The sequence below is a fragment of the Homo sapiens genome, chromosome 6 (assembly GCF_000001405.40).
Source record: "Homo sapiens chromosome 6, GRCh38.p14 Primary Assembly".
Classification (NCBI taxonomy): Eukaryota; Metazoa; Chordata; class Mammalia; order Primates; family Hominidae; genus Homo; species Homo sapiens.
In genome coordinates, this window is record NC_000006.12 from 63,564,244 (window position 1) to 63,590,741 (window position 26,498).

General features: G+C 39.1%; 4 protein-coding genes across 21 annotated transcripts in view, besides 10 other annotated features; 2 read left to right on the forward strand and 2 right to left on the reverse strand.

The window, feature by feature from the left end:
- LGSN (lengsin, lens protein with glutamine synthetase domain) overlaps positions 1 to 9,364 on the reverse strand; it is a 297,657-nt gene extending 288,293 nt beyond the window's left edge. Inside the window, exon 1 of the mRNA XM_047418866.1 lies at positions 1,259 to 9,364. The gene's annotated coding sequence lies outside the window, so the exon portion shown is untranslated. The remainder of the gene's footprint in view (positions 1 to 1,258) is intronic.
- PTP4A1 (protein tyrosine phosphatase 4A1) overlaps positions 1 to 19,345 on the forward strand; it is a 67,149-nt gene extending 47,804 nt beyond the window's left edge. For 6 of the 18 annotated variants that reach the window (NM_001385255.1, NM_001385254.1, NM_001385258.1 and 3 more), the window contains 5 exons: positions 12,193 to 12,742; positions 14,194 to 14,286; positions 14,655 to 14,785; positions 15,014 to 15,088; positions 15,814 to 19,345. In NM_001385255.1, coding sequence (NP_001372184.1) covers positions 12,638 to 12,742; positions 14,194 to 14,286; positions 14,655 to 14,785; positions 15,014 to 15,088; positions 15,814 to 15,931 — 522 coding nt within the window. In that variant the 5' untranslated portion in view covers positions 12,193 to 12,637 and the 3' untranslated portion in view covers positions 15,932 to 19,345. Of the gene's footprint in view, positions 1 to 7,555; positions 7,600 to 8,236; positions 8,575 to 12,192; positions 12,743 to 13,334; positions 13,545 to 14,167; positions 14,287 to 14,654; positions 14,786 to 15,013; positions 15,089 to 15,770 lie in introns of those variants that run through there. The other 12 variants (NR_169594.2, NM_001385263.2, NM_001385260.1 and 9 more) reach the window with 12 other exon arrangements.
- LOC124901228 (translation initiation factor IF-2-like) lies at positions 1,992 to 9,325 on the reverse strand. The gene is made up of 2 exons (XM_047419610.1): positions 9,289 to 9,325; positions 1,992 to 9,187 (listed from the first exon to the last, which is right to left on the reverse strand). The coding sequence occupies exons 1-2, from the start codon at positions 9,323 to 9,325 to the stop codon at positions 8,442 to 8,444; spliced, it is 783 nt and encodes a 260-aa protein (XP_047275566.1). The 3' UTR covers positions 1,992 to 8,441.
- Positions 7,223 to 7,960: an enhancer, noted in NCBI's record as "NANOG-H3K27ac-H3K4me1 hESC enhancer chr6:64281371-64282108 (GRCh37/hg19 assembly coordinates)". NCBI's record gives its function as "activates a minimal SCP1, AML or CMV promoter by ChIP-STARR-seq in primed H9 embryonic stem cells {active_cell/tissue: H9 hESC(primed)}" and the evidence as "EXISTENCE:reporter gene assay evidence [ECO:0000049][PMID:30033119]".
- Positions 7,961 to 8,696: an enhancer, noted in NCBI's record as "NANOG-H3K27ac-H3K4me1 hESC enhancer chr6:64282109-64282844 (GRCh37/hg19 assembly coordinates)". NCBI's record gives its function as "activates a minimal SCP1, AML or CMV promoter by ChIP-STARR-seq in primed H9 embryonic stem cells {active_cell/tissue: H9 hESC(primed)}" and the evidence as "EXISTENCE:reporter gene assay evidence [ECO:0000049][PMID:30033119]".
- Positions 7,979 to 8,398: a silencer, noted in NCBI's record as "silent region_17308". NCBI's record gives its function as "represses an Ori minimal core promoter by ATAC-STARR-seq in GM12878 lymphoblastoid cells {active_cell/tissue: GM12878}" and the evidence as "EXISTENCE:reporter gene assay evidence [ECO:0000049][PMID:35858748]".
- Positions 8,021 to 8,315: an enhancer, noted in NCBI's record as "tiled region #7882; HepG2 Activating DNase unmatched - State 1:Tss, and K562 Activating DNase unmatched - State 1:Tss". NCBI's record gives its function as "activates a minimal TATA promoter and a strong SV40 promoter by Sharpr-MPRA in HepG2 and K562 cells {active_cell/tissue: HepG2 | K562}" and the evidence as "EXISTENCE:reporter gene assay evidence [ECO:0000049][PMID:27701403]".
- On the forward strand, positions 8,237 to 19,345 carry LOC128125822 (uncharacterized). Its single transcript, NM_001415059.2, has 2 exons — positions 8,237 to 8,476; positions 12,193 to 19,345. The coding sequence occupies exons 1-2, from the start codon at positions 8,438 to 8,440 to the stop codon at positions 12,286 to 12,288; spliced, it is 135 nt and encodes a 44-aa protein (NP_001401988.1). The 5' UTR covers positions 8,237 to 8,437; the 3' UTR covers positions 12,289 to 19,345.
- Positions 8,697 to 9,432: an enhancer, noted in NCBI's record as "NANOG-H3K27ac-H3K4me1 hESC enhancer chr6:64282845-64283580 (GRCh37/hg19 assembly coordinates)". NCBI's record gives its function as "activates a minimal SCP1, AML or CMV promoter by ChIP-STARR-seq in primed H9 embryonic stem cells {active_cell/tissue: H9 hESC(primed)}" and the evidence as "EXISTENCE:reporter gene assay evidence [ECO:0000049][PMID:30033119]".
- Positions 8,699 to 8,828: a silencer, noted in NCBI's record as "silent region_17309". NCBI's record gives its function as "represses an Ori minimal core promoter by ATAC-STARR-seq in GM12878 lymphoblastoid cells {active_cell/tissue: GM12878}" and the evidence as "EXISTENCE:reporter gene assay evidence [ECO:0000049][PMID:35858748]".
- Positions 9,369 to 9,738: an enhancer, noted in NCBI's record as "active region_24719". NCBI's record gives its function as "activates an Ori minimal core promoter by ATAC-STARR-seq in GM12878 lymphoblastoid cells {active_cell/tissue: GM12878}" and the evidence as "EXISTENCE:reporter gene assay evidence [ECO:0000049][PMID:35858748]".
- Positions 9,369 to 10,168: a biological region, named in NCBI's record as "NANOG-H3K27ac-H3K4me1 hESC enhancer GRCh37_chr6:64283581-64284316".
- Positions 9,433 to 10,168: an enhancer, noted in NCBI's record as "NANOG-H3K27ac-H3K4me1 hESC enhancer chr6:64283581-64284316 (GRCh37/hg19 assembly coordinates)". NCBI's record gives its function as "activates a minimal SCP1, AML or CMV promoter by ChIP-STARR-seq in primed H9 embryonic stem cells {active_cell/tissue: H9 hESC(primed)}" and the evidence as "EXISTENCE:reporter gene assay evidence [ECO:0000049][PMID:30033119]".
- Positions 25,701 to 25,995: an enhancer, noted in NCBI's record as "tiled region #1413; HepG2 Activating DNase unmatched - State 5:Enh". NCBI's record gives its function as "activates a minimal TATA promoter and a strong SV40 promoter by Sharpr-MPRA in HepG2 cells {active_cell/tissue: HepG2}" and the evidence as "EXISTENCE:reporter gene assay evidence [ECO:0000049][PMID:27701403]".

Genomic DNA, 26,498 nt, shown 5'->3' on the forward strand with positions numbered 1-26,498 from the left:
CCAGCCTGGGTGACAGAGCGAGACTCTGTCTCAAAAAAAAAAAAAAAGAGAGAAATTTCAAAAGGCTTCTATACTCATTTTCTCTTATGTTCAGTATCTTCCAGCCATGAATGGAACTATAGAAATACACGAAGATAGCAACGTTTGTTGAACATCCCTAGTTAAAAAGCAACTGTGTTAGGATAAGAAAAAAGCATGACTGTTGTAGCTTTTGTTAAATAAATGTTATTATGCTTGCAGGAAATTGTTCAACAACATTTCTCCTTATGTAAGGCCTGCCCCAGTAATGCTGCTTAGGTCACTGTCTGTCTGGATTATCTGCAGCCTAAATGCCAACTCTGTAAATTAAACCTGTCAAGTGACAGCTTTGCCATAGCATGCATATCCAACCTTTAAAATTTATTTATACTCCATTCCCTTTCTCTAGCCAGATTAAATTCTCCTTTCCTAAGCTATTTTTGCCTCAGTTCAGACTGTGGCATAATTCAACATGTTCTAAACAATCACATGGAGACTGTGGCCTTCCTGATTTTCAATTCCCAAATGATTTTTATTCAGGCTATAGAACAGCAACAGAAATTTCACCAAATTTGCTAAAATAAGAAGAGTCTTCTCAAACTAGATTCCTCCAGGTACCAGTAGGCAAAACAGTCATGAGTTATGGATAGATTCATAATAAGTCCTTTATTCAGTGCCCCAAGGAAATGGTGCCTTTCAGCATGCAAATGAAAAGTATTCTCTTACTAATCAATCTGTCCATCATTTCTTTTTTGTTTTTCCTTGAGAGAGAGGGTCTTTGGTCTGTTGCCCCAGATGGAGTGCAGTGGCATGATCACAGCTCACTGCAGCCCTAACAACTCCTGGGCTCAAGCAATCCTCCCACCTCAACCTCCGAGGGAGCTACAACTACAGGAATGCACCATCATGCCCAGATAATTTTTTTTTTTTTGTAGAGACAGGGTCTGACTGTGTTGCCCAGGCGGTATCTGTCACATCTTAATACACACACTAAGCTCCTACAGAAGTAAATACTATATTAAGCGGCAGAGTTACTAATGTGAATACACATTCTCATTTGATTTGGAGACTACCTAGACAACTTTCAGGTTTATATTTAAATTGATTACAATTAGACATGAAAAAGGGACAGAGAATGGGCATAATAGAGATCGATTCAAGAGAATTGTTTCTTAAAATAGACTTTAAAAAAAAAAGTTGTTCAAAACTGCCTTAATCAATTTTACAGAGAAAATATTACCTCAAATGGTTTGATATGATGACTTGATAAGATGTTACTTCTGATCCAGCAGGATTCATTTATTAATATAAATATTTACATCTGTAGTACCCTCCTAGGTGGGTGACTGTTTCTATATGTCTGACTCAACAAAACACAGTAGCCCACAGGCAGCTATTGGCCTTTGGACTTTGTCCTTAGGCCAGATTCCTTAAAAGGCTTGTTGTGACAAGCTTATTTGCTCATTGGAAATTTCTGTGTCTAAATTTCCCACAGAAATTAGGATGTAGCTCTGCTACAGCATTTTGATTATTCATCAAAACTTACTCAAAAGACTTTTGATAAATCTTTAAATCAATGTCTTAAGGAAGAAAATTAAGTCACTTTTTAATATAGAGCATGTTTTAGTTTTGAACAATATTTAAGCACTGCAAATTATATGTTCATAGAGATTTAAGCATAGGCATACCTTGGAGATATTGCAAGTTCAGCTCCAGACCACCACAATAAAACAGGTATTACAATAAAGGAAGCCACATGCATTTTTTGGTTTCCCATTTACACTACATTGTTGTCTGTTAAATGTGCATAGCACTATGTCTAAAAAATGTACATACCTGTTTTGTCCCACTGAACCCATAGCTGGAGTTGCCTTAAAAGCAGCAGCAGGAGAATTCGTACAACAGAGTACCCCAAACCATTTGAAGACAGGGCTGGTTTGAGATTTCAAAGAAAGCAGCTCTAAATGCCAGAGTGATCAGTCCAAAACATTTATTAAAGGAACTTGCAGGGTGTTGCAATGTATTATTGTGATGGACAGCAAGAGAAAAGGGATGTTTTACCCACATTAGTCTGTAGCCAGGGGGTGAGGGGATGGAGTTTACATGAAAATTTAAGGAATTCGGCTCAGGGTCGGGGTCAGTTTCTTTCCAGTAAACCAAGACATTATTATCAGTGCCTGGGAATGTTCAAGCTGGTTTGGGTTCAAGCCAGCTGAGGAAAACCTATGGCTACAGCTGGCTGGGTCACTGTGATTTTGGTCAAGACACAGAAAGGAAGTGGGGAAAACGGGTACCCTAGAATACCTTAATTTAAAAATACTTTTGCTAAAAAATGCTAACAGTCATCTGAGCCTTCAGCAAGTCATAATCTTTGCTGTTGGAGAATCCTGCCTCAGTGATGATGGCAGCTGACTGATCAGGGAGGTAGTTGCTGAAGGTTAAGGTGGCTGTGGCAATTTCTTGAAATAAGACAATGGAGTTTGCTGCATTGATGACTCCACAAAAAATTTCTCTGTAGCAGGCAGTGCTGTTTGATAGTATTTTACACACAAGAGAACTCCTTTCAAAGTTGCAATCAGTCCTCTTAAAACTCACCCACTGCTTTATCAGCTAAGTTTATGTGATATTCTAAATCCTTTATCATTTCAACAATGCTTACGGCATCTTCACCAGCAGTAGATTCTATCTCAAGAAACCACTCTCTTTTCTCCTTCATAAGAAGCAACTCCTCATTCATTCAAGTTTGATCATAAAATTGCAGCGATTTAGTCAACTCTTCAGACTCTGTTTCTAACTCCAATTGTCTTGCTATTTTCACCATATTTGTAGTGATTTCCTCCACTGAAGTCTTGAACGCCCTCAAGGTCATCCATGAGAGTTGGAGTTAACTTCTTTCAAACTCCTGTTCATGCTGATACTTTTACCTCCTCTCATGAATGTTCTTAATGGCATCTAGAATCCTTTCCAGAATGTTTTTGGTTTACTTTGCTTAGATCCATCAGAGGAATCACCATCTACAGCAATTTATAACCTTATGAAATGTACTTGTTAAATATTAAAACCTGAAAGTCAAAATTATTCCTTGATCCATGGGTTGCAGAATGGATGCTGTGTTAGAAGGCATGAAAACAATATTACTCTCCTTGTACATCTCCATCAGAGCATTTCAGTGACCATGTGCATTGTCAAGGAGCAATAGTATTTTTAAATAAATCACGTTTTATCAGTAGGTCTCAACAGTGGACTTAAAATATTTAGTGAGCCATGCTAAACAGATGTGCTGTCAACCAGGTTTTGTTCTTCCACTTATAGAGCACAGCAGAGTAGATTTAGCATAATTTTTAAGGGTCCTAGGATTTTCAGAATGGTAAATGAACATCTGCTTCAACTTAAAGTCACCAGCCACATCAGCCCCTAACAAGAGAACTGCCTGTCCTTCGAAGCTTTGAAGCCAAGCATTGACTTCTATAGCTATGAAAGTCTTGGACAGCATCTTCTTCCAGTATAAGACTGTTTTGTCTACATTGAAAATCTGTTATTTAGTGTAGCCACCTTCATCAATGTTCTTGGCTAAATCTTCTCAATAACTTGCTGCAGCTTCTCCATCAGCACTTACTGCTTCACCTTTCATTTTTATGTTAGGGAGAGGGCTTCTACTCTTAAACCTCATGAATCCACCTCTGCTATCTTCAGACTTTTCTTCTACAACTTCCTCACCTCTCTCAGCCTTCATAAAAATGAAGAGAGTTAAGGCCTTGCTCTGAATTAGGCTTTGACTTAAGAGAATGCTGTGGCTGGTTTTCTATCCAGAACTCTAAAACTTTCTCCTTATCAACAATGAGGCTGTTTCACTTTCTTATCATTCCTGTGTTCACTGGAGTGGCACTTTTAACTTCCTTCAAGAGCTTTTCCTTGGCATTCACAACTTGACTGTTTTGGGTATGAGGCCTAGTTTTCGGCCTATCTCTGCTTTCAACTTGCCTTACTCAGCTTAATCATTTTTAGCTTTGATTTAAAGTGAGAGATGAATGACTCTTCCTTTCACTTGAACACTCAGAGGCCACTGTAGGGTTATTAATTGGCCTAATTTCAGTATTGCTGTGTCTCACTGAGGGACTGGCCCATCAGCGGAGCAGTCAGAATATATTCAACATTTATCAAATAAGTTTGCCATCTTAAATGGGTACAGTTTGTGGTGGCCCAAAACAATTCCAATAACAATATCAAAGATCACTGTTCACAAATTGCCATAACAAATGCAATAATAATTTAAAAGTTTGAAATATTGGGAGAATTACCAAGATGTAACACAGAGACATGAAATGAGCACATGCTATTGGAAAAATGGCTCTGATAGACTTGCTCGACAAAAAGCTGTCACAAACCATCATTTTGTTAAAAAAAAAAAACAATATTTGCAAAGCACAATAAATGAAGGTATGCCTGTATACTACATATTTATTTTTAATAATCATATAAGAAAATTAATTGGATATAAAATAGGCTGTTCTAAAACAGCAAGAGGGAAATAAACTTTAACAATGCTGACAGCAGCCATGGCATACTTGAATTTTTAGGACTCTTGTTAAATATGGGTATGGGAACTTACCCTCTGCACTAGTATCCAGACACTTACTAGATTATGGCCCATTGGGGTATTTGCCTCTATTACATATATTTGCTAGACTGTCATTATACCTTGCAATCTAGTGTCTTTTTCTAGGTTGATATTGTCACGTTTAATCTATTATGGCAATGATATTACTCTTGCTATGTTAAATGTTTTTATCAGACTTCCTTGTAGCCCCAACCAATCTGAGAAGATTGAAAATCAAGGAATCCTTCACTCCTTTTGTAAACTTGGTAAAATGGAATCAATGTTTACTAGATCTGCTGTTCTTGTGAAGATTTCTCTGTTCTTCTTCATCAAGATTTGCCAATCTTCCTCTGCACTCTTGCCTTCTGCAGTCTTTCCTCTTCCATAAAAATATCGCTTATAATATTCTTTTTTTGAAATGAAGTCTCACTCTGTCTCCCAGGCTAGAGTGCAGTGCCATGATCTCGGCTCACTGCAGCCTCTGCCTCCCAGCTTTCCAGTGATTCTCCTTCTTCAGCCTCCCAAGTAACTGGGATTAGAGGTGCCTGCCACCATGCCCAGCTAATTTTTTGTATTTTTAGTAGAGATGGGTTTCACCATGTTGACCAGGCTGGTCTTGAACTCCTAACTCCTAATCTCAGGTGATCCACCCACCTTGGTCTCCCAAAGTACTGGGATTACAGGCATGAGCCTGTATGCCACCATGCTCAACTTCCTTATAATATTCTTCTAGTCTTATTTCCCAACTGCTGGCTTTTATATTTTGAATTGTCAATAGAAAGCCCTGCCTATCGTGATGAGGTTAAGGACACATGTTTTGCTGAGAGAAGTAACTTCCAGCTGAGAATCTTGTTTAGCAGGAGAGAAAATCCTCTATTTTAGAGCCTCTCCTGGAGCTTAGAGTAAGCATTGGCTTTTAGAGGTGTTTTCTCCCTTTTTGATGTCTGGAAGCACTATTTTCAAGTCTGTTAGAGACCCACTTTAAATAAGTACAGGTGCTAATGCTCTGAGTGCAAGTCTGTAAGGGTTAGTGAGTCCTCAAATCACAGAAGTCTCCTGACCAATGCTGGGATGTTCTACTGTTCTCCAAGAATCTGCAGCTTAAAAGTATTAAACTAAATACAGCAGACACCCTCAGCATAGCAGTGAACCACAATGGCAGCTGACAAGCAGGAACATTTAATGGATTGGTCAGCAAGACCACACTTATATCTTGTTTAAAATGTGTCCTTTCCTTTGGGAGACTGAGGCAGGCAGATCTCTTGAGGTCAGGAGTTCAAAACTAGCCTAGTCAACATGGAGTTTTCTAAAAGTACAAACAAATTAGCCAGGTGTGGTGGCAGGTGGCTGTAATCCCAGCTACTTGGGAGGCTGAGGCAGGAGAATTGCTGGAACCCAGGAGGCTGAGGTTGCAGTGAGCAAAGATTGCACCACTGTGCTCCAACCTGGGCAAAAGAGCAAGACTCCATCTCAAATAAATACATAAAATAAAATGCATCGTTTCTCTCAACAGCAAAAGCCTTATTTTTTCATCCTTTAAATATGTTACTTTCATAGTAGGATAAGATGGTACCTTGTCTGAGAGGCTAAGACCCCCAGGCCACTTGAGAATTTGAGAGCTTTTAGAACTTGATGAGCATAGCTGACTGGATACTTCGTGTCAGCACTGCTTGTGGTAATTACAGGATCTGTGGATCACAAGGCTCACAACTTGTATCACAAGTTCTACAAGAAAATTGGCTAACACATATTTGGCTCTGTTAATCATTTGCTGAGTTTATATCTTGTCCCACCAAATGTATTTTTTGAAATGCCATTACATGAAAAAGTTTCACTATTCCAATTATCTGTGTTTACCAACTTGTGGAGTAAGAGTGGCTGACTGAATATGTGCTTTTTAACTACACTATTATATACATTGGCCAAGCTTTTTATATTAACCCTACCCATGAAGTATCACCAATATTTCCCCCAGTGTGAAATTGACATTTGTCAAAAGCCTTTTGCCATATAAAAGTTTTTAGTTCTTATATATGAAATCTGTCCCTTTTTTTCGACATGAGTTCCCCAGCCTGCTTAGCTTTGCCCCTACCACCCAAGATTTTTAAGCTTTCTATATTTTCTTAGAATTTAAGATTTTAAAGTCTTTACTTTTTTAAATCATTTATTTGTAAAGGGACATATTTCTCAAGTGTGCTAGTTTTCCTTGATTTTAATGGATTAAAATGTGTCGTAGGTGAGCCATTTTCTTCCAAATGACGAAGAGTTTTTGTTCCTTTGAAAGTCTGGCCCAGGATTTTGTTTGTTTTTGTTTTTTTAAAGTTCTTATTTTACTTACAGAGTTAAGAAAGTTGAATAACTATACAACCAGTCTCTAAATAGAAGTTCTAATAAATCCTAAGATGTTGCAGGGCACTGAAAGAGGACAAAATTTGATCCCTAAAGCCCTCTCCAATCTCATACTCGGTGAAAATAACAAACAAAAGGCTTCAGTGTTAGTGGAAAACTGAGTTCTTAAAAAGCAGGTAAAGGTCCTGTTTGGTCCTTCTCCAGAGCTGAGGAGAAAGGGTTTTCAGATTATAAATAACAGAGGTGCCCTTGTATGGCACAGAATTGCGATAAGACTTTACTTCTTAGGGGCTTAAATAATGAAGTCAGTAAAAGAGGACTGAAAACGAACATAAAGAAGAGCTTTAGCTTTGACGCAAAGAATTACATCAGTGCTTGACAAAACCGAGGATTCTTAATTTCTAAAAACGCTTTCTTTAAGCACTTCCTAACCTTTCATTATCTGAGACAACATATCAAGTGAGCAGCAGTACAAAGGATGCATGTGATTTCGAAATGCCACAATTGAGCCAACTGCAGTTGCACGCGTACGTAGTATAGAGAGGTGTGATCAAAAAAAGAATATAGGGAGCATAGGGCTTCGTCTGCATCAAAAGATACTCTCCCCATCTTCTATAGCCTTAAGTTTTGCGAAGGTAAGTTTCTCCCCGCTTGAAAGCGCCCCCAGGGACAAGAATTCATCTTGACCAAGCCTAAGGCCGTGGCATGCAAGGTGTTGAGTCACCGGGTACAGCGGTCTTGCGACATAAATATTATTTGATGACGAAGGTACTCGGGGCCCAGGTGCCAAGGTAAACCACTGGCAAAGATGACCGTGGTTAAGGCAGTAGAAAGCAGGCTCGACACTGAGACGCGGTTCCAGCCCTAGAAGGATTGCATTTTACGATTCAGGCAAACTTCGAGTCTCCTCATGTGACATGTGTGCACTCCTGGACCGTTTTAATTATGAGAAACGTGGTTTGCAGCATGATTCCTTCCAGTCGATAAATCGGAATCTCTCTCGCTCCCACCCCTTCTTAACTTCAGGCTTCCTGCATCCCGGAGCACTCCCGGCAGCCCCTTCCCTCCCCCGCCCCGGGGATGCTCCGACTCGGCGCTTAGCCATTCATCAACCGGTTCACACCGGCGGCGGCCGCCGCGGAGTGACGTCCGGAGGGGGCGGGCCTCCGCCCCCGCCTGTCGGCTCCTGGCCCGCGGTTCCAGGCCGCGATTGGTGGCTGGAGGGTTGCACGTCGCGCCGGCTATAAAGGGGAGGGCTTGTGACGCAAGGGCGCCTCGGCGCGTGTATTGGCTCCTTCGGCTGCGGGCCGGCTCGGCTACGCGCTCTGCTCCGAGCCGCTCACTGCATGGTAGAGTCTGGTGCCCCCGCCGCCGCCTGCATCGCCGCCACCGCCGCTCCGCCACGACCACCGCCGCCTCCTGCCCTGCAGCCACCGCCACCGCCTGTGTCGCCGCCGCCTCGGGACCGGCTGTATGATTAGGCCACAATCTTCAATGAGTAAACATATTCCTGTGAGTAGCCGTCGCATCGTCGCCTCTCGGGCTGGGAATCCACGACCGGCCCCCCATCCCCGCTGTCGCCTTTGTTCGGAGCCCGGCGTCTCCTCCAGGTTGCCCCGGGTTGCGGTTCCGGTGGGTCCCGGGTGGGAGCGGGCGGGTTATGGCCCTGTGGCCGGCCGATTGCGGCCGGCTGTGCGGAGGCAGATGCCGGGCCCCTCGGGGCTGCGGGGTGGCGGTTGGCCGCCGGAGGCACCGGCTTTTGAGTCCCTCCCGAGCCCGGAGCGACGGGGGCGGCGCGGTCCGGCTTCTGCGGCGGCCGGGGGCAGTTTCGGCTTCCGCAGCGGGCCGGGTGGGTGGCACAAAAGCCGCTTTGTGACCGCCGCCTCCGCCCTTGGCCCTTTGGTCTGGCGCGACCCGTCCGGGCATGGCAGGCTCCGCGGCGTCCCGGGGCCTCTTTGTTCGGCCGGAGGAGAGTGGCTGCACTGGGAGCGGGAGACGTGGCCCGGGGTGGGGCGAGGGCTGCGCGTGTCACTGCGGAGCCGGATACGGGGAGGGCGCGGCGGTGGCGGGTTCGCCTCCAGATCCGGGCGGGCGTGGGGTAGGCCGGACAGCCAGGCACGGGTGGTAACGATCTGGTTCCAGAGCTTCTCGGAGCTCCGGGGTGGGCGCGGGACAGCCACTGGGTGCAGCTACACTCTTGTGCTCGACGGCCGGGACCCGAGCCTCAGACAAAATGGCCTCGGCGCCCGCGCCTGACTGAAGGCGCGGCGCGAACCCGTGATTGCGGCGCGGAGAGGGGGCGCAGCGGGCGTGCTCGGGCGCACACAGCCGCGTGCGCGGGGCGGCGGCCCTCTGGGGCATTCCGCGAGCTGCACCCCTGCCCGGGCCAGAGTGGGGTTCTGCTAGGTGAGAACTTCGGCCGTCCGCCCCGCCCTCCTCCCAGGCTCCACCTGGTAATTCGAGCTGTTCCGGATTTATCGCCCCACCTCGGGCTCGTGATAATGGGAACAAGTCTAGTCTTGTCCTTTCTCTGGGCCAGTCGTCGAGAAATGGCCTGGTTCGGAGCGTCTTGGAAACTGACAGGGCTACTGTTAGTTACACTGACGCGAAGGACTTCCCGTCCGGGCACCAGCATACATTTCCCCTGCCAATTTTGGAAGGGCCCTGGATGGCGCCTTTTAATCGGGGACTGTTTAGAACTATCCCTGAGCTCTGTGGTGTAATATGTTGTTGCCTCCTGTTGGTTTGTGGCAGCAGTAGCCAACCAGAGACGGAATTCTGAGGGTTTTTTATCTTCTGTCCGCGGAGCCCCCTACCAGTCCACGAGTATTAAGTTATTTACACTACGATTGGAACTGTTGACCTGCCCGACATCTAGATCCTGAGGCAGTGCTTCCTGTTACTCAGTCAGTTGAAAACTAGAAAACTAAATCATTCCCAAGAGTGAGCAGCATTTTACACATGCTTTCTTAGGTGCCCTAAGACCTAAATAGATGTGGAACAGACTATACAACGAATTGTTTGTGACAAAGGAGTTACACACATTAATTGGCTTGACTCTGCAGTATAATAATGATTTAAGCTTCTGCACAGAGATTACTCTTTCCTCCTCTCCCTTCTTGTATATGATTGTGATTATAATGCAACTGATAGGTGGGAGGGAAAAAATCCCCATTATGGATAGTTTTTCCTGTGGGTAGGAGATTGGGAATGGAGGAGTGTCTTGGGCGGAACAGAAATCTATCGGTGGCCACCACTGCTTTAACAGACGAGTCCCCCCATCCACTAGGTGGCTCCACTCAGTAAAAATAACCATTTCAGGAAGGGAATTCTTAATATAGTTCTTTCTCTGCTTCCTGATGAAAGTGCTTACTTACATGAAGGGATATGGCCAGACTAGGTTGTAGCCGACAGGAGTTTTAGCTATTAAATATGGAAATAGTGGTGTGAAATACTGCCTCAAATTAGCTTTTAATTGAAAAAAAGGTAATACCTAGAAATTAGAATACTGTGATGAGTCATTATAAAGCTTTTAAAGATCATTGTATGTCATTGGGAAAGTGTCAGAATACACTTTTTATTCTACGGAGGTTGTATTTAGAATTTGGGGTGAAAGTATAATGAAATTATTTTCAGATTACTACAATCTGTATTCACTGTAACTGTGATGGCTTTGTAATTTAGACACTTAATTTTTTAACCCAGCTGACCAACTAGGTGAAGTAACCTCTGAGGGCTTGTTTGAACAAACTTGTGATAATGAAAGTTACCTTTTTTATGGGACCTTTTGATAAATGATTGTTAATGCTAGTTGTATGTTTTACCAGAAAAGTAGACTGGGTTTTTGACTTGATGTTTTCTGCAGTAATCATCATAAGAATTATTCTTCAAAATTTAGCAAAGTTCTAGAAACTATAACTAGCATGGGACTATTTAAAGGTGTAAAATGGAAATGGGAGCAGATCGTTTGAATTTTAATTTTAAGACTTCAAATGCTTAAATTTAAGCATGGAAACTAATGGAACCTTTTGTTAAAACACTTTGGTAATGAGAGTACACATGAAGTGCTTGAGGCAGTGACTATGAATTACTGCTCTTGTTAACCTGTTATTAATACTTTCCTTAGTGCCCTCTTTACTCCCGAGTACACAAGTACCTTATAAACTATTTGGAAGAAGACTGATTATTAACATCAGTGTCTTCCATGTACATATTTTAAAAATATGCTGTGACTATTGGTTTAATGTTTGATATTGGCATAAAAATGGTTTAGTTCTTAAGGGGGAACTTAGAGAAAATATAAATACATTCATATTTGTTTATATTTATTGGTTACAGTAGTTACCTTGCTTTTGAGACCTGCCACTTCCACCTTCAACATCCCTTTGTCCGCCTTCTCTGAGTTGGATTTCAGTTTTGAGTTGTATATGTGAAATTTTGGTTTTAAAATACAAAAGAACATTATTAAAATTATGAATATTTTCTTTACAGTTATAAATGAGAGTTGTTTCCTTTTTAGATTCATAAGCATACATTCTTATGATATTTCACATAACAAGTTGATTTTCAGAGACTCATTTTCCTCGTCTTCAGTTTAATGGGAATGATAACAGATTGTTAAGGATAAAGTGAGATTCTAAATATAGGACTTAAATCAGTCTAAGAAAAGGATATAAAAGCATAAAGTTGGAAAAGAACTTAGATGTTTCAGTTTATGAGTTAAGTAAATTATGCAAGACTAATAACTTCAGAGTTATCTGGAGTTTGTATTAATGTGTAAAAATGTTTTTGTTAGTTGGAAAAATCAACATAAAGTGTATGTAATTACAATGTAAAGAAAACAACTATCGAAAGGGATAATTATTAGAATCATATAATTATATATTATATATAGATAGTATATATACAGAGAATATAACTAGATAGAATATATATGAATATATATATGAATTTCACAAAAATGTAACAATGGGTTTGGTTTTTTTTTCTGAGGAATCTTGGTAATAGATCATGGATTTCAGTTTAATCTATCTGACTGCTTGTTTTATGCTGATTGATTTAATCTGTACTCACCCCTTGAGTTTTGCAATTCAAGTAAAAGTCGATGAAGCGGCTCAGGCCCTGCTTTAGAAAAATAGTTGTGTACTTAAATAGTGTAAAACCCTAATGTATTTCTTTTGAATTGGAAAATAACTTATTCTCTCTTTCTGTCTTTTTCTTTTAAACAGCAATTCTGTGGTGTTCTTGGTCACACATTTATGGAGTTTCTGAAGGGCAGTGGAGATTACTGCCAGGCACAGCACGACCTCTATGCAGACAAGTGAACTGTAGAAACTGATTACTGCTCCACCAAGAAGCCCCCATAAGAGTGGTTATCCTGGACACAGAAGTGTTGAATTGAAATCCACAGAGCATTTTACAAGAGTTCTGACCTGGATGGGGTAAACCTCAGTGCACTTCTTTTCTGTTGGCCTCAGTATTACTGGATTGAAGAATTGCTGCTTCTTGTTAGGAGGTTCATTTCACTTATCATTACTTACAACTTCATACTCAAAGCACTGAGAATTTCAAGTGGAGTATATTGAAGTAGACTTCAGTTTCTTTGCATCATTTCTGTATTCAATTTTTTTAATTATTTCATAACCCTATTGAGTGTTTTTTAACTAAATTAACATGGCTCGAATGAACCGCCCAGCTCCTGTGGAAGTCACATACAAGAACATGAGATTTCTTATTACACACAATCCAACCAATGCGACCTTAAACAAATTTATAGAGGTAAGATTTGATATGTTTTAGTAGCTTAAATTGATTGCAATATAATAGTGGGACTTATAGCTAACAAAATAAAAACTACTTTGGAAAAAATGAGATGATATACCTACAATTCCAGTTCCCAGAAATAAATGTCAATGTCTTCTATAGGTTAGAGGTATATTTGTACATTTTGAGAAGGGCATGTGCTTGAGTTAATAGTTATTGTACCTGAGTTTGCTTGAATTGGTATGTGGACAGTAAAACAGTATAGCTCTTACTTATCTTGTAAGAAATTTACATGGGAAAGGTTGCCATTTATGGATTTTTTATATATCTGCTTAACCTAATGACTAATGCCATAAACCAGTTGGTTTTTCTTGAACCCCATCTGATGCTTAGAATCCAATTTTCAACTACAAATTCTGTTCCTTCCTAATGGTAGCTATGTAGCCAAAACTCTACCTGCCTCTTTTTACTAGGAGAAAGGAATTGAATGCTGAATAATATATCGGGATGTGCACATGTTTTATTTTATAAATACCTACAGTTGTTAAGAAATAGCAAATAGGCCTCTCAGAACATAATGGAAATACTTTTTTTTCCTTTTTTTGAGATGGAGTCTCGTTCTGTCACCCAGGCTGGAGTGCAGTGGCATGATCTCAGCCCACTGCAACCTCTGCCTCCCGGGTTCAAGCAATTCTCCTGCCTCAGCCTCCCAAGTAGCTGAGACTACAGGCGTACGCCACCTTGCCCAGCTAATTTTTGTATTTTTAGATGTAGTTTCACCATATTGGCCAGGCTGGTCTCGAACTCCTGACCTCAGGTGAGCCACCACGCCTGGCTGGGAAATACTTTAATGGTACTTTAATTTTTATTACTATATATTATATATACACTAATATATACTATATAGTGTATATAATAGTATATTATATTAGTAATATGTAATTAGTAATAATGCATTTTGAAGCCTGTAGTTTTAAATGGTATGTGGGCTTTTTTACTGTAGTTAAGACTTCATTCAATGTAAATCAGTAAAGTTTAAGGAGTGAGTATAATTGAGTGAAGTCAGATTACCCGATTAGTTATAAATAATGCCTTTAGTTACATTTACCTTTGTCTGCATTGCTGCTAGCCCCTTTTGGTTAATGTTTCATCCCAATCCGGTATTACCATGACTGTAAACAACTTCAGTGTATGAAGGGGGCACACAATTTAAACAAAAGAAGGAAAACTTTTCCAGTTTATTAAAAATATGTATGGTATTTAATATTCACTTTTCTTTTTATATTCTAGCATTGTCACTTAAAACAAAATTTGCTTTTGTGTTAAACATAAATGGATTCTAGCATTCTTTAAATGATCTTCTGTTAACCAGCATACTTACTGATCAGAGATGATCAGAATATAAAATGTTGAGTTATAGTGATGTGGTTAAACATTAAGATTTTTTTAATGTACGTTTTATCCAGGAACTTAAGAAGTATGGAGTTACCACAATAGTAAGAGTATGTGAAGCAACTTATGACACTACTCTTGTGGAGAAAGAAGGTATCCATGTTCTTGTAAGTATTTAACAGTTCTTATGGGTTTATGGTGCTGTGCTACAAAAGTTTATTCAAATAGTAAATTCAAATAAATATCTATTTAAGTCATAAATAGACCTCAAAAAGCTAAAAACAAATATTATATTATTGTGCAGAATCTTAATTTCTAAATAAAGGTGAAAAGCTAAGCAAGGATTTGAAGTTGTGAAACATTTTTGTAAAGATTGAGCATTTAGTCACATTTGGTAGACAACAGGGTTTAATAAGATTTGATTAAACATTAAAATGAGAATGCTTTTGAAAACATTTCCATGTTAGAAATTTAGAATTATTACTACAGTGTTTATATTAATGATCTAAAATGTTTAAATATTCTTCTGACTTAGGATTGGCCTTTTGATGATGGTGCACCACCATCCAACCAGATTGTTGATGACTGGTTAAGTCTTGTGAAAATTAAGTTTCGTGAAGAACCTGGTTGTTGTATTGCTGTTCATTGCGTTGCAGGCCTTGGGAGGTAAATGAATTTATCAATTTGATTCTAGGTAAAAATCTATTGATAATGAAAATACAGAAACTTGAAAAATTCTTATAATTTTTTAATATAAAGTCAACATTTGTCATAGGTATTACTTAAATAGGAAGGGTGGTAGATAATACTTCTGAGTTGGGGAATGTTTGGAGAAATAAATTTACAAAGATCTGATTTTGAAAAAACTATTTATCAAAATTCTTACCTCACCAGAGCTCCAGTACTTGTTGCCCTAGCATTAATTGAAGGTGGAATGAAATACGAAGATGCAGTACAATTCATAAGACAGTAAGTAATGGATTCTCTTTTCATTTGTACTCTCTTTCATTTCCTTGTTGAGTGTCAGTGAGTTTAATAGTCTAATAGCCCATTTAATCATTATGATTATTTTTTGAGATAGTATTAAAACCAGGAAATCAAGATCTTACATTCTTTTTTGCATTTCATGCAGTTGCTCATATTACTAAGATTCTAATCCAACAAGAGTTTTTGAATTATTGTTTTGCTTTAAATACTTGATTGAATATGTTGGTTATTTTGTATTTTTATTGAGGTATAATTAAGATACATTTAAAGATACAATAAAATGCACAGGTCTCCAAAGGAGACCAGTTGACAATAACAGCCAAATTAACCATCCAATACAACACATAGAATATTTTGAGTGCTGTAGAACATGCCTTTGTGGCTTTTGTAGTCATCTTCCCTGCTACCAGAGGCAACTTCTGACTTCACTATAAATTAGTTTTGTCTTTTCGTGGACTTACGTGTAAATGGATTTGTGAGTCGACTGTTGTAACCAATACTCAAACGAAGATATAAAGAAAATTAACTTTTTATGATTTTTTCCATTTACACTGATGTGCCTGTTCATATTCCTTTCTGCATCAGGTCACAGCCTAATTAATCAAAAGATAAATTGCCACAAGAGAGGTGATGGTTGTCTATAAGACACTAAATATTACTGTAGGGGGCTTTTGCCTTGTTTCATTTTTTTTTTTTTTTCCTCCCAGAAAGCGGCGTGGAGCTTTTAACAGCAAGCAACTTCTGTATTTGGAGAAGTATCGTCCTAAAATGCGGCTGCGTTTCAAAGATTCCAACGGTCATAGAAACAACTGTTGCATTCAATAAAATTGGGGTGCCTAATGCTACTGGAAGTGGAACTTGAGATAGGGCCTAATTTGTTATACATATTAGCCAACATGTTGGCTTAGTAAGTCTAATGAAGCTTCCATAGGAGTATTGAAAGGCAGTTTTACCAGGCCTCAAGCTAGACAGATTTGGCAACCTCTGTATTTGGGTTACAGTCAACCTATTTGGATACTTGGCAAAAGATTCTTGCTGTCAGCATATAAAATGTGCTTGTCATTTGTATCAATTGACCTTTCCCCAAATCATGCAGTATTGAGTTATGACTTGTTAAATCTATTCCCATGCCAGAATCTTATCAATACATAAGAAATTTAGGAAGATTAGGTGCCAAAATACCCAGCACAATACTTGTATATTTTTAGTACCATACAGAAGTAAAATCCCAGGAACTATGAACACTAGACCTTATGTGGTTTATTCCTTCAATCATTTCAAACATTGAAAGTAGGGCCTACATGGTTATTTGCCTGCTCACTTTATGTTTACATCTCCCACATTCATACCAATATACGTCAGGTTTGCTTAACCATTGATTTTTTTTTTTTTTTACCAAGTCTTACAGTGATTATTTTACGTGTTTCCATGTATCTCACTTTGTGCTGTATTAAAAAAACCTCCATTTTGAAAATCTACGTTGTACAGAAGCACATGTCTTTAATGTCTTCAGACAAAAAAGCCTTACATTAATTTAATGTTTGCACTCTGAGGTGCAACTTAACAGGGAGGGCCTGAGAAAAGAATGGGAGGGGGCTATTAATTATTTTTAGCAAAATGTTGCCTTTGTCTTGTGCAAACATGTAGAATATGCTCTTTAATTTAGTAAAATATTTTTTTAAAAGGTAGAGATGCTTTGTTATTGTAATCATAAACTTCCTGAAATTCTTGTAATTTTTTTCCCATACTTATCAGAAGTGTGTTTACCAACTTATTTTTGTTTGAAAGTGTGATTTTTTTTTTCCTTCCCAACCTCTCTTGCAAAAAAAGAAATGGGTTTCTGCTAATGAATTGAGCAGACATCTAATATTTTATATGCCTTTTGAGCTGTGTAACTTAATATTTGGATACTTGACAATTTGTTTTATTATGTAATTGATAAAATGGTGATGTGTATTAATGTTAGTTCAACCATATATTTATACTGTCTGGGGATGTGTGGTTATAGTTCTGTGGGAGAAATAATTTTGTCAGTGTTCACCAGCTTGTAAAAACTTAGTGCGAGAGCTGAAACATCTAAATAAATAATGACATGCATTTATCATCATTGAGATTGGTTTGCTTAAAATTAACTTATTTTGTAGAAGACAAAATGAATTGCACTTCACTTAATGTGTGTCCTCATCTTTTTACAAATAAATGAAGGATTATAAATGATGTCAGCATTTTAGTAAACTTTTAGACAAAATTTGTTAGGGTCATTCATGAAAACTTTAATACTAAAAGCACTTTCCATTATATACTTTTTAAAGGTCTAGATAATTTTGAACCAATTTATTATTGTGTACTGAGGAGAAATAATGTATAGTAGAGGACAGCCTTGGTTTGTAAAGCTCAGTTCCACTAGTTCATGGTTTTGTGCAACTTCTGAGCCTCAGTTTTCTCCTTTGCAAATTAATAATTACATACCTTTATAGATTTTGAAATTAATTTAAATATTAGTATTTGGTACATGAAGGCTTAATGTTAAGTTTCCTTTAATGATCCACAATAATCCCTTTGATCACGTTAATCTAAATCTAGATGTCTTTGTCTAATTTTTTTTGAATAGCAGTTATAAATGTAAAGGACTCAAAGTTTAAGTAAAAAGTGATACTCCACCTTGTGTTTCAAAGAATTTAGTTCCACCTCTTCATACCAGTTTAACACTTAATATATTTCATTGGATTTTAGACAGGGCAAAAGGAAGAACAGGGGCCTCTGGAGGCCCTTGGTTATTTAAATCTTGGATTATTTGTGATAGTAATCACAAATTTTTGGCTAATTTTTAACCTGAGGTTTTGTTTTTTTTTTAAAGGAAATGCAGCCTAGTCTTGAGAACATAATTTTATATAATCAATTACTAAATGTTAAACTATTACCACACAGCCCATAAAACAGCATTTGCGTTTATTGAGAGAGAGGATGTGCCATCATGATTAATGAAAACTATCTTTTGAGTTTGAAAAGAAATTAATTTGCAGTGTTTGGATTGTATATATGGTGCTAAAAATAAATTAATTTACTTTATAAACCTTATCTGTACATTATACGATGTGATGAAATTTGCTTTTTATCCAAATATTTTGTATCTTGTAAATATGGCTAATTATAGGAATGCCTATAATACATCTTAGATTCCTTATATCTAATAAGAGTTCAAAGAGTTATGAGTTGAAGTCTTGAATGCAGGAAACTATCTGATAGTGTTCTAAAATTTGGTTACTTGGGTTTGGATACCCTTAGTGGGATGATGTAAATAGAGGCTAGCTACCTAGGCTTGTCTATAGCAACCATAATGTTGATGTAAGTAATGCGGTTACTGAATCATAAGAAAATGCCATCTCTTTTTAGTTGAAGGAAAACTCTGGAAGTAGGTGCCATTGGTCATTCTGCAGTGCACTGCAACCATTGTTTCCCCTAGTGCCCTCTTTTCCCTAGGGCATTGCTCTCCTATTCCCACGCCTTAACACAGCTCTATACCTAGAAGCAGCCAGCCCAGGCATGCAGTCACATTTAATCACATCCCCCTTCTAGAGTGCTTCAAAATGATGTAGTCCCTCAACTTGGCTAAAGAATCTCAATCTCTTGAAATTTATTTTTTTAATGTCATATTCATCTGGTAAATATCTACTGTTTGCCAGGCATTTAAGAATATGGCAAAGAACATAAAAGATGGTGTCACCAGATTTTGGTCACCAATGAGTACCCGACCCGTTGCCATGATTAAGAGAGAATGCTTTCTATTGGAGTTTCAGGAAATATAATTTGAGAATACTTTAAAGGGAAGTGGAAGTATAAGTGAATGATATTTTTCTTTTACATGTAAACAATGAAGTTATTTCAAAGTTAAGTTTTAAACAAAATACATGAAGTAGTGTCTGCCATACATGTTAATATTCTACATTCTTGCTTCCTTAAATTAATATGTTTGTGTGTATATATGTGCCTCACACCTGAATTGAAAATTAAAGACTGGTTTAAAAGTGGTTTAAAAGTGACATTTAATGTTTCTCCATTACGTTTGGGGTAACCAGCCTAAGTGGAATCTTGGAAGGAAAGTAAGGGAAAAACTTGTATTTGCCTTCAATGAATTAAACCAGTGATATGTGTTAACGTATGAATGAAAGGATTGATGGTGATTTTATAATTATATATATTGCCGCAGTAACCAGTTAATAAATTGATAGCTACCATTTATTAATGATTTTATTTTCAGGTAGTTTTTATAATTTGATTCCCTTCCAACAGTCTTGTCCCAATTTTACAGTAAGGGATTTGAGCCTCCAGATAGGGGACTAGCTAATAAGTGGTAGAAGTCAGGGATTCAGACCTGTGTTTGAGCTGGTCCACTACACCACACAGTTATGTAAATAAATATGCATGACTTTTTTTGTTTTTTGTTTTGAGATGGAGTTTTGCTGTTGCCCAAGCTGCAGTGCAATGGCCTGATCTTGGCTCACCGCAACCTCCACCTCCTGGGTTTAAGTGATTCTCCTGCCTCAGCCTCCCAAGTAGCTGGGATTACAGGCATGCGCTACCACACTTGGCCAATTTTGTATTTTTAATACAGGAATTTTGTATTTTTAGGAGAAACCTAGCTGTGACAGAAGGCAAAAAGGGATTTAGAGTGTCTCACGGTGATTAAAAGCTTGACTAAGAAATCATACATGTCACTTAACTCAGAAATGCATTTCTATCACATGCTGAAAGGCCAGAACTACACAGAATTAATCACCTCCACCTCAGGGTTTAAAAGAGTACATCCACAGCAGCGTTTTACATAACTGAAATGCCCAACATAAAGGGGTTAAAGTTTCCAGGCAGCCAAAATAGATGTCATGAAATTCAGGCACTAAAGTTGAGAAGCACATGGGTAGCAATTAAGATACACTTGTAAGCCTGATAACGAGACATTTGGAATCATAAAAACTAAATATAAAAAGTACAGCCACTTGGGACAAGTCAATGCTATGACTAATAGCTTTAAGCTTATACACCTCAATTGACCATAAGGAAATCGGTATTTCCTACACAGCACAAAACGATTAGCTGCTTACAAGGATTGACAATAGTCATCAAGAATATAAACCATTAAGTTTGGTTTTGTGTATGTGTGTGTGTGTGTGTTTAGATTAGTACTGCATTTACTTTTTTTCTTTTTTGAGACAGGATCTCACTTGTCACCCAGGCTGGAGTGCAGTGGTACAATCTTGGCTCACTGCAGCTTCAACCACCTGGGTTCAAGCGATACTCCTACCTCAGCCTCCTGAGTAGCTGGGGACTACAGGTGTGCACCGCCACACCTGGCTAGCTTTTGTATTTGTAGTAGAAAAGGGGTTACGCCATGTTGCCCAGGCTGGTCTCAAATTCCTGAGCTCAAGTGATCTGCCTGCCTTGGCCTCCCAAAGCGCTACAATTACAGGAGTGAGCCACTGCGCTCGGCCAAGTTTGGTTTTGTGGGGTTTTTGTTTGTTTGTTTGTTTGTTTTTAATAGAGATGGGGTTTCAATGTGTTAGCCAGGGTGGTCTCATTTCCTGACCTCGTGATCCACCCGCCTTGGCCTCCCAAAGTGCTGGGATTACAGGCGTGAGCCACCGTGCCCGGCCAGTTTTGTGGTTTTTAAGCCAAGAAATTTTATAATCAAATATTTTCAAGGGATATTCTTAGATATATTAGAGAAATGGTCTCATGAATAAGTTTGGCAAACACTGGGCTAACTTAGACATTATTTACTGCAATATTAGAGCCTTTAATATGCTGGTGTGAATTTTTAATCTTTCCAAGAGAACAATATTGTATTTATCCATTGTATCAATCAGTGTCCCGGAAGAAGACAGATTGTTCACTCACAGTGGATAATTAAACATTTAATAGAGAAACAAGAAAAAAAGAATTTCAGGCCAATATACCTGACGAACATTGATGTAAAAATCCTCAGTAAAATACTGGCAAACTGAATCCAGCAGCACATCAAAAAGCTTATCCTCAAAAAAAAAAAAGTTTATCCTCCACGATCTAGTTGGCTTTATCCCTGGGACACAAGGCTGGTTTAACATATGCAAATCAATAAATGTATTATAATGCATCACATAAAGAGAACTAAAGACAAAAACCACATGATTATCTCAATAGATGCAGAAAAGGCCTTTGATAAAATTCAATATCCCATCATATTAAAAACTCTCAATAAACTAGGTATTAATGGAACAGACCTCAAAATAGTAAGAGCCATTTATGCCTACTCCTAGCCAATATCATACCGAATGGGCAAAAACCAGAACCATTCCCTTTGAAAACCGGCACAAGACAAGGATGGCCTCTCTCACCACTCCTATTCAACATAGCATTGGAAGTTCTGGCCAGGGCAATGAGGCAAGAGAAAGAAATAAAGGGTAATCAAATAGGAAGAGAGCAAATCAAACTGTCTCTCTTTGCAGATGACATGATCCTATATCTAGAAAACCCCATCATCTCAGCCCAAAAGTTTCTTAAGCTGACAAGCAACTTCAGCAAAGTCTCAGGATACAAAGTCAATGTGCAAAAAGCACAAGCATTCCCATACAGTAACAATAGACAAGCTGAGAGCCAAATCATGAGTGATCTCCCATTCACAACTGCTACAAAGAGAATAAAATAACTAGGAAAACAACTAACAAGGGATGTGAAGGACTTCTTCAAGGAGAACTACAAACCACTGCTCAAAGAAATCAGAGGACACAAGCAAATGGGAAAACATTCCATCCTCGTGGATAGGAAGAATCAATATCGTGAAAATGGCCATACTGCCCCAAGTAATTTATAGATTCAATGCTATTCTCATTAAACTGCCACTGATATTCTTCATAGAAATAGAAAAAACTACTTTAAAATTCATATGGAACCAAAAACAAGAGCTTCTAAAGCCAAGACAACCCTAAGCAAAATGAAGAAAGCTGGAGGCATCACACTACCTGACTTCAAACTATACTACAAGGCTACCAAAACAGCATGGTACTGGTACAAAAACAGACACACAGACTAATGGAACAGAATAGACATCTCAGAAATAAGACCGCACATCTACAACCCTCTGATCTTTGACAAACCTGGCAAAAGTAGTGGGGAAAGGATTCCCTATTTAATAAATGGCATTGGGAAAACTGGCTAGCCATATGCAGAAAATTGAAACTAGACCCCTTCCTTACACCTTTTTCAAAACTTAAGTCAAGGTGGATTAAAAACTTAAGTGTAAAACCCAAAACTATAAGAACCCCAGAAGAAAATATAGGCAATACTATTCAGGACATAGGCACAGGCAAATATTTCATAATGAAAATGTCAAAAGCGATTGTAACAAAAGCAAACATTGACAAATGGAATCTAATTAAAGAGTTTCTTCACAGCAAAAGAAACTATCATCAGAGTGAACAAAGAACCTACAGAATGGGAGGAAATTTTTGCAGTCTATCCATCTGACAAAGGTCTAATATCCAGAATCTACAAGGAACTTAAACACATTTACAAGAAAAAACACAACCCCATCAAAAAGTGGGCAAGGGACATGAATGGACACTCTCAAAAGATGACATTTATGCAGCTGACAAACATGAAAAAGTGCTCATCATCACTTGTCATTAGAGAAATGCAAATCAAAACCACAAAGAGATACCATCTCACACCAGTCAGAATGACAATTATTAAAAAGTCAAGAAACAACAGCTGCTGGCAAAGCTGTGGAGAAATAGGAACACTTTTACACTGTTGGTGGGAATGTAAATTAGTTCATTGTGGAAGACAGTGTGGCAATTCCTCAAAGACCTAGAACCAGAAATACCATTTGACCCAGCAATCTCATTACTGGGTGTATACCCAAAGGAACAGAAATCATTCTATTACAAAGATATATGCATGCATATGTTCATTGCAGCACTATTCACAATGGCAAAGACATGGTACCAACCCAAATGCCCATCAACGATAGACTGGATAAAGAAAATGTGGTACATATACACCATGGGATACTATGCAGCCATAAAAAGGAATAAGCTCATGTCCTTTGTAGGGACATGGATGAAGCTGGAAGCCATTATTCTCAGCAAACTAACACAAGAACAGAAAACCAAACACTGCATCTTCTCATAAGTGGGTGGGAACTAAACAATGAGAGCACGTGGACACAGGGAGGGGAACAGCACACCCTGGGGCCTGTTGGGGGATGGGGGGAAGGAGTGTATCAGGATAAATAGCTAATGCATGCTGGGCTTAATATCTAGGTGATGAGTTAATAGGCAGCAAACCACCATGGCACGTTTACCTATGTAACAAACCTGCACATTCGGCACATGTATCCCAGAACTTTATAAAAAGGAAAAAAGCATTTATTTATTTATTTATTTATTTATTTATTTATTTATTTATTGAGATGGAGTCTCGCTCTGTCATCAGGCTGGAGTGCAGTGGCACTATCTCAGCTCACTGCAACCTCTGCCTCCTGGGTTTAAGTGATTCTCCTGCCTCAGCCTCCCGGGTCGCTGGGATTACAGGCATGTGCCACCACACCCAGCAAATTTTGTTTTTTAGTAGAGACGGGGTTTCACCATTTTGGTCAGGCTTGCTCAAACTCCTGACCTCAGGTGATCCACCCGCCTCGGCCTCCCAAAATGCTGGGATTATAGGTGTGAGCCACCGCGCCCGGCAACTAAGAAGCATTTAATAAAGGGAAGCCAACAGGAATGTTGTGATACAGTTGCCACCTCCCAGCCTAAAGAGGCAAGAGAGGGGGACCAGTTACTGGGACTGAAGAGAAGAGCTAAATGGATAGGACTTCCTCAAAGAAGCTGTGACCTTAGTTGGAAGATACAGCCAACTAACAGCAATCCAGGTGGAGACCGATAAAAGACCGAGAAATATTCAGCCTCATTTCCGCATCCCCTTTGATGTCCTACTAGTCTCTCTTTTCCCCTCTCTCCCCAGGCAGAGGGCAAATGAACCTGTCATCTATACAGATCAGCCTTTTGGGGACAGAGCAGAACAGAGAATAGCGTGTGGGAAACAGAAAACATCCTGTACCACTGCAGATGCCTTTTTTTTCAGATGACTGCTTGGGATTAGTGTTCTACAGAACACACTGGGAAAAGTTGACATTATTCATTTTTTAAAGATATCCAAACTGACACATACATATACACACATGTTCTGTTTTTTTAGAGGTGGCAATACACACAATTTTTGGAAGTGATAATATAATGGAGGTATCTACAGTAATATGAAATAGCTCATTCATTCAATTTCAATTTAATTATTTTATTTTATTTTATTTTATTTTATTTTATTTTATTTTATTTTATATTTTTTTGAGATGGAGTCTCGCTCTGTCACCTAGGCCGAAGTGCAGTGGTTGTGATCATGGCTCACTGCAACCTCTGCCTCCTGGGTTCAAGCAACTCTCCTGCCTCAGCCTCCTGAGTAGCTGGGACTACAGGCATATGCCACCACGCCAACTAATTTTTATGTTTTTTTTTTTTTAGTAGAAATGAGGTTTCCCCATGTTGGCCATGCTGGTCTTGAACTCCTGATCTCAGGTGATCCTCCCGCGTTGGCCTCCCAAACTGCTGGGATTACTTTTAAAGAGTTTCTGCACAGCAAAAGAAACTATCATCAGAGTGAACAAACAACCTACAGAATGGGAGGAAATTTTTGCAGTCTATCCGTCTGACAAAGGTCTAATATCCAGAATCTACAAGGAACTTAAACACATTTACAAGAAAAAACACAACCCCTTCAAAAGGTGGGCAAGGTACATGAACAGACACTCTCAAAAGATGACATTTGGCCAGCAGCGGTGGCTCATGCCTGTAATCCCAGCACTTTGGGAGGCCGAGGCCGGTGGATCACGAGGTCAGGAGATGGAGACCATCCTGGCTAACACCGTGAAACCTCCGTCTCTACTAAAAATACAAAAAATTAGCCAGGCGTGGTGGTGGGCGCCCTAGTCCCAGCTACTCAGGAGGCTGAGGCAGGAGAATGCCGTGAACATGGGAGGCGGAGGTTGCAGTGAGCCAAGATCACACCACTGCACTCCAGCCTGGGAGACAGAGCAAGACTCCGTCTCAAAAAAAAAGAGATGACATTTACGCAGCCACCGTGCCTGGCCATTACTTTCCAATCATGAAAAAAAAAATAAAGATTTTATAGTGAAATGATAAAAAGAATTGCCCTTGGGAACTTCTTTAGTTACAGGCATGAGCCGCTGCACCCGGCTGTCAAGTGTTGATTTTTGGGGGAGTGACAATATAATGTCCATTTCACTTCTGACTTGCAGAATATAGTCACAAACTTGGTCATTTTTTGCAAAAATATTTCAGGACTTTAATTTTTCCAAAGGCCAGCCTTAGCCAGTTATTATTTAGATAATTTTGTCTTGAAGCATCTAATACAGCATCCATATAAATTTTCATTTGTTTCCATTTTTAATTGACTTAACTCTGCTAGATCCTTATCTGACAATAACTTTTGTTATTATTTGAGCAGTTCTCAAACATCACTTTCATTGACTTTGTCAGTCTAAACAACAGAGAGAGGCTCTCTAAAAGAAAAGGTACTTATTTGGGAATAGGGCATTGCAGTGAGATTATTCATGCCAGAGTAAACTATGTGCATATTCAGGGAGGTAAAGGAACACAAAGGTTTTTAAGAAAAGAATGAGGATGACATAATTGTTTTCAAATAATTATCTTTGGCTGCAAAGATCAATAACAAGGGTGACGTCAGTCCAGGATTGGATAGTCAGTTGCTGGGCAGATGTCCTTGCAAAAGAATTTGTTGTGTAAGGTTGCAATGGCCTTTGTGCAAGGTTGGTTTTTGTAGTCTTTGTGATAGTCTTTGTTATCAAGCATAAAAGCATGAGAACCCTCTCTTCATGGCCTTTCCTGGCTCTAGAGTTTTGTTGCTGTTTTTGTTGTTCTGACGTTAATGATTGCATTTTGATTCTGACAACTTTCACAACTTCATAAAATTCAGCAACTTAAATTCCAGTTTCACTTGTTTACATTGTGTTATTGGCTACATTCATTGGCAAGAAGACCAATAAATAGGTTTGGATATACTGGACACTACTAGTGCTAAAATAAAGACCATTTTACAAGTGGACGTGCACTAGAACTTCATTAACATAGGAACTCAAAACAATGAATATACAGCTAAAAGCCCCTAGATTGAAGGAATAAGCAACAGAGTTCAACTAGATCAAATGGGACTTGGGTAGGTGTGATTCATTATAATTCTTTTATTCAGTTACCTGTTTATTAGAGACCTGCCCACACTAGAGGCCAAAAAATAGTGTTGATAAGATGATGCCACAGAACTTCACCAG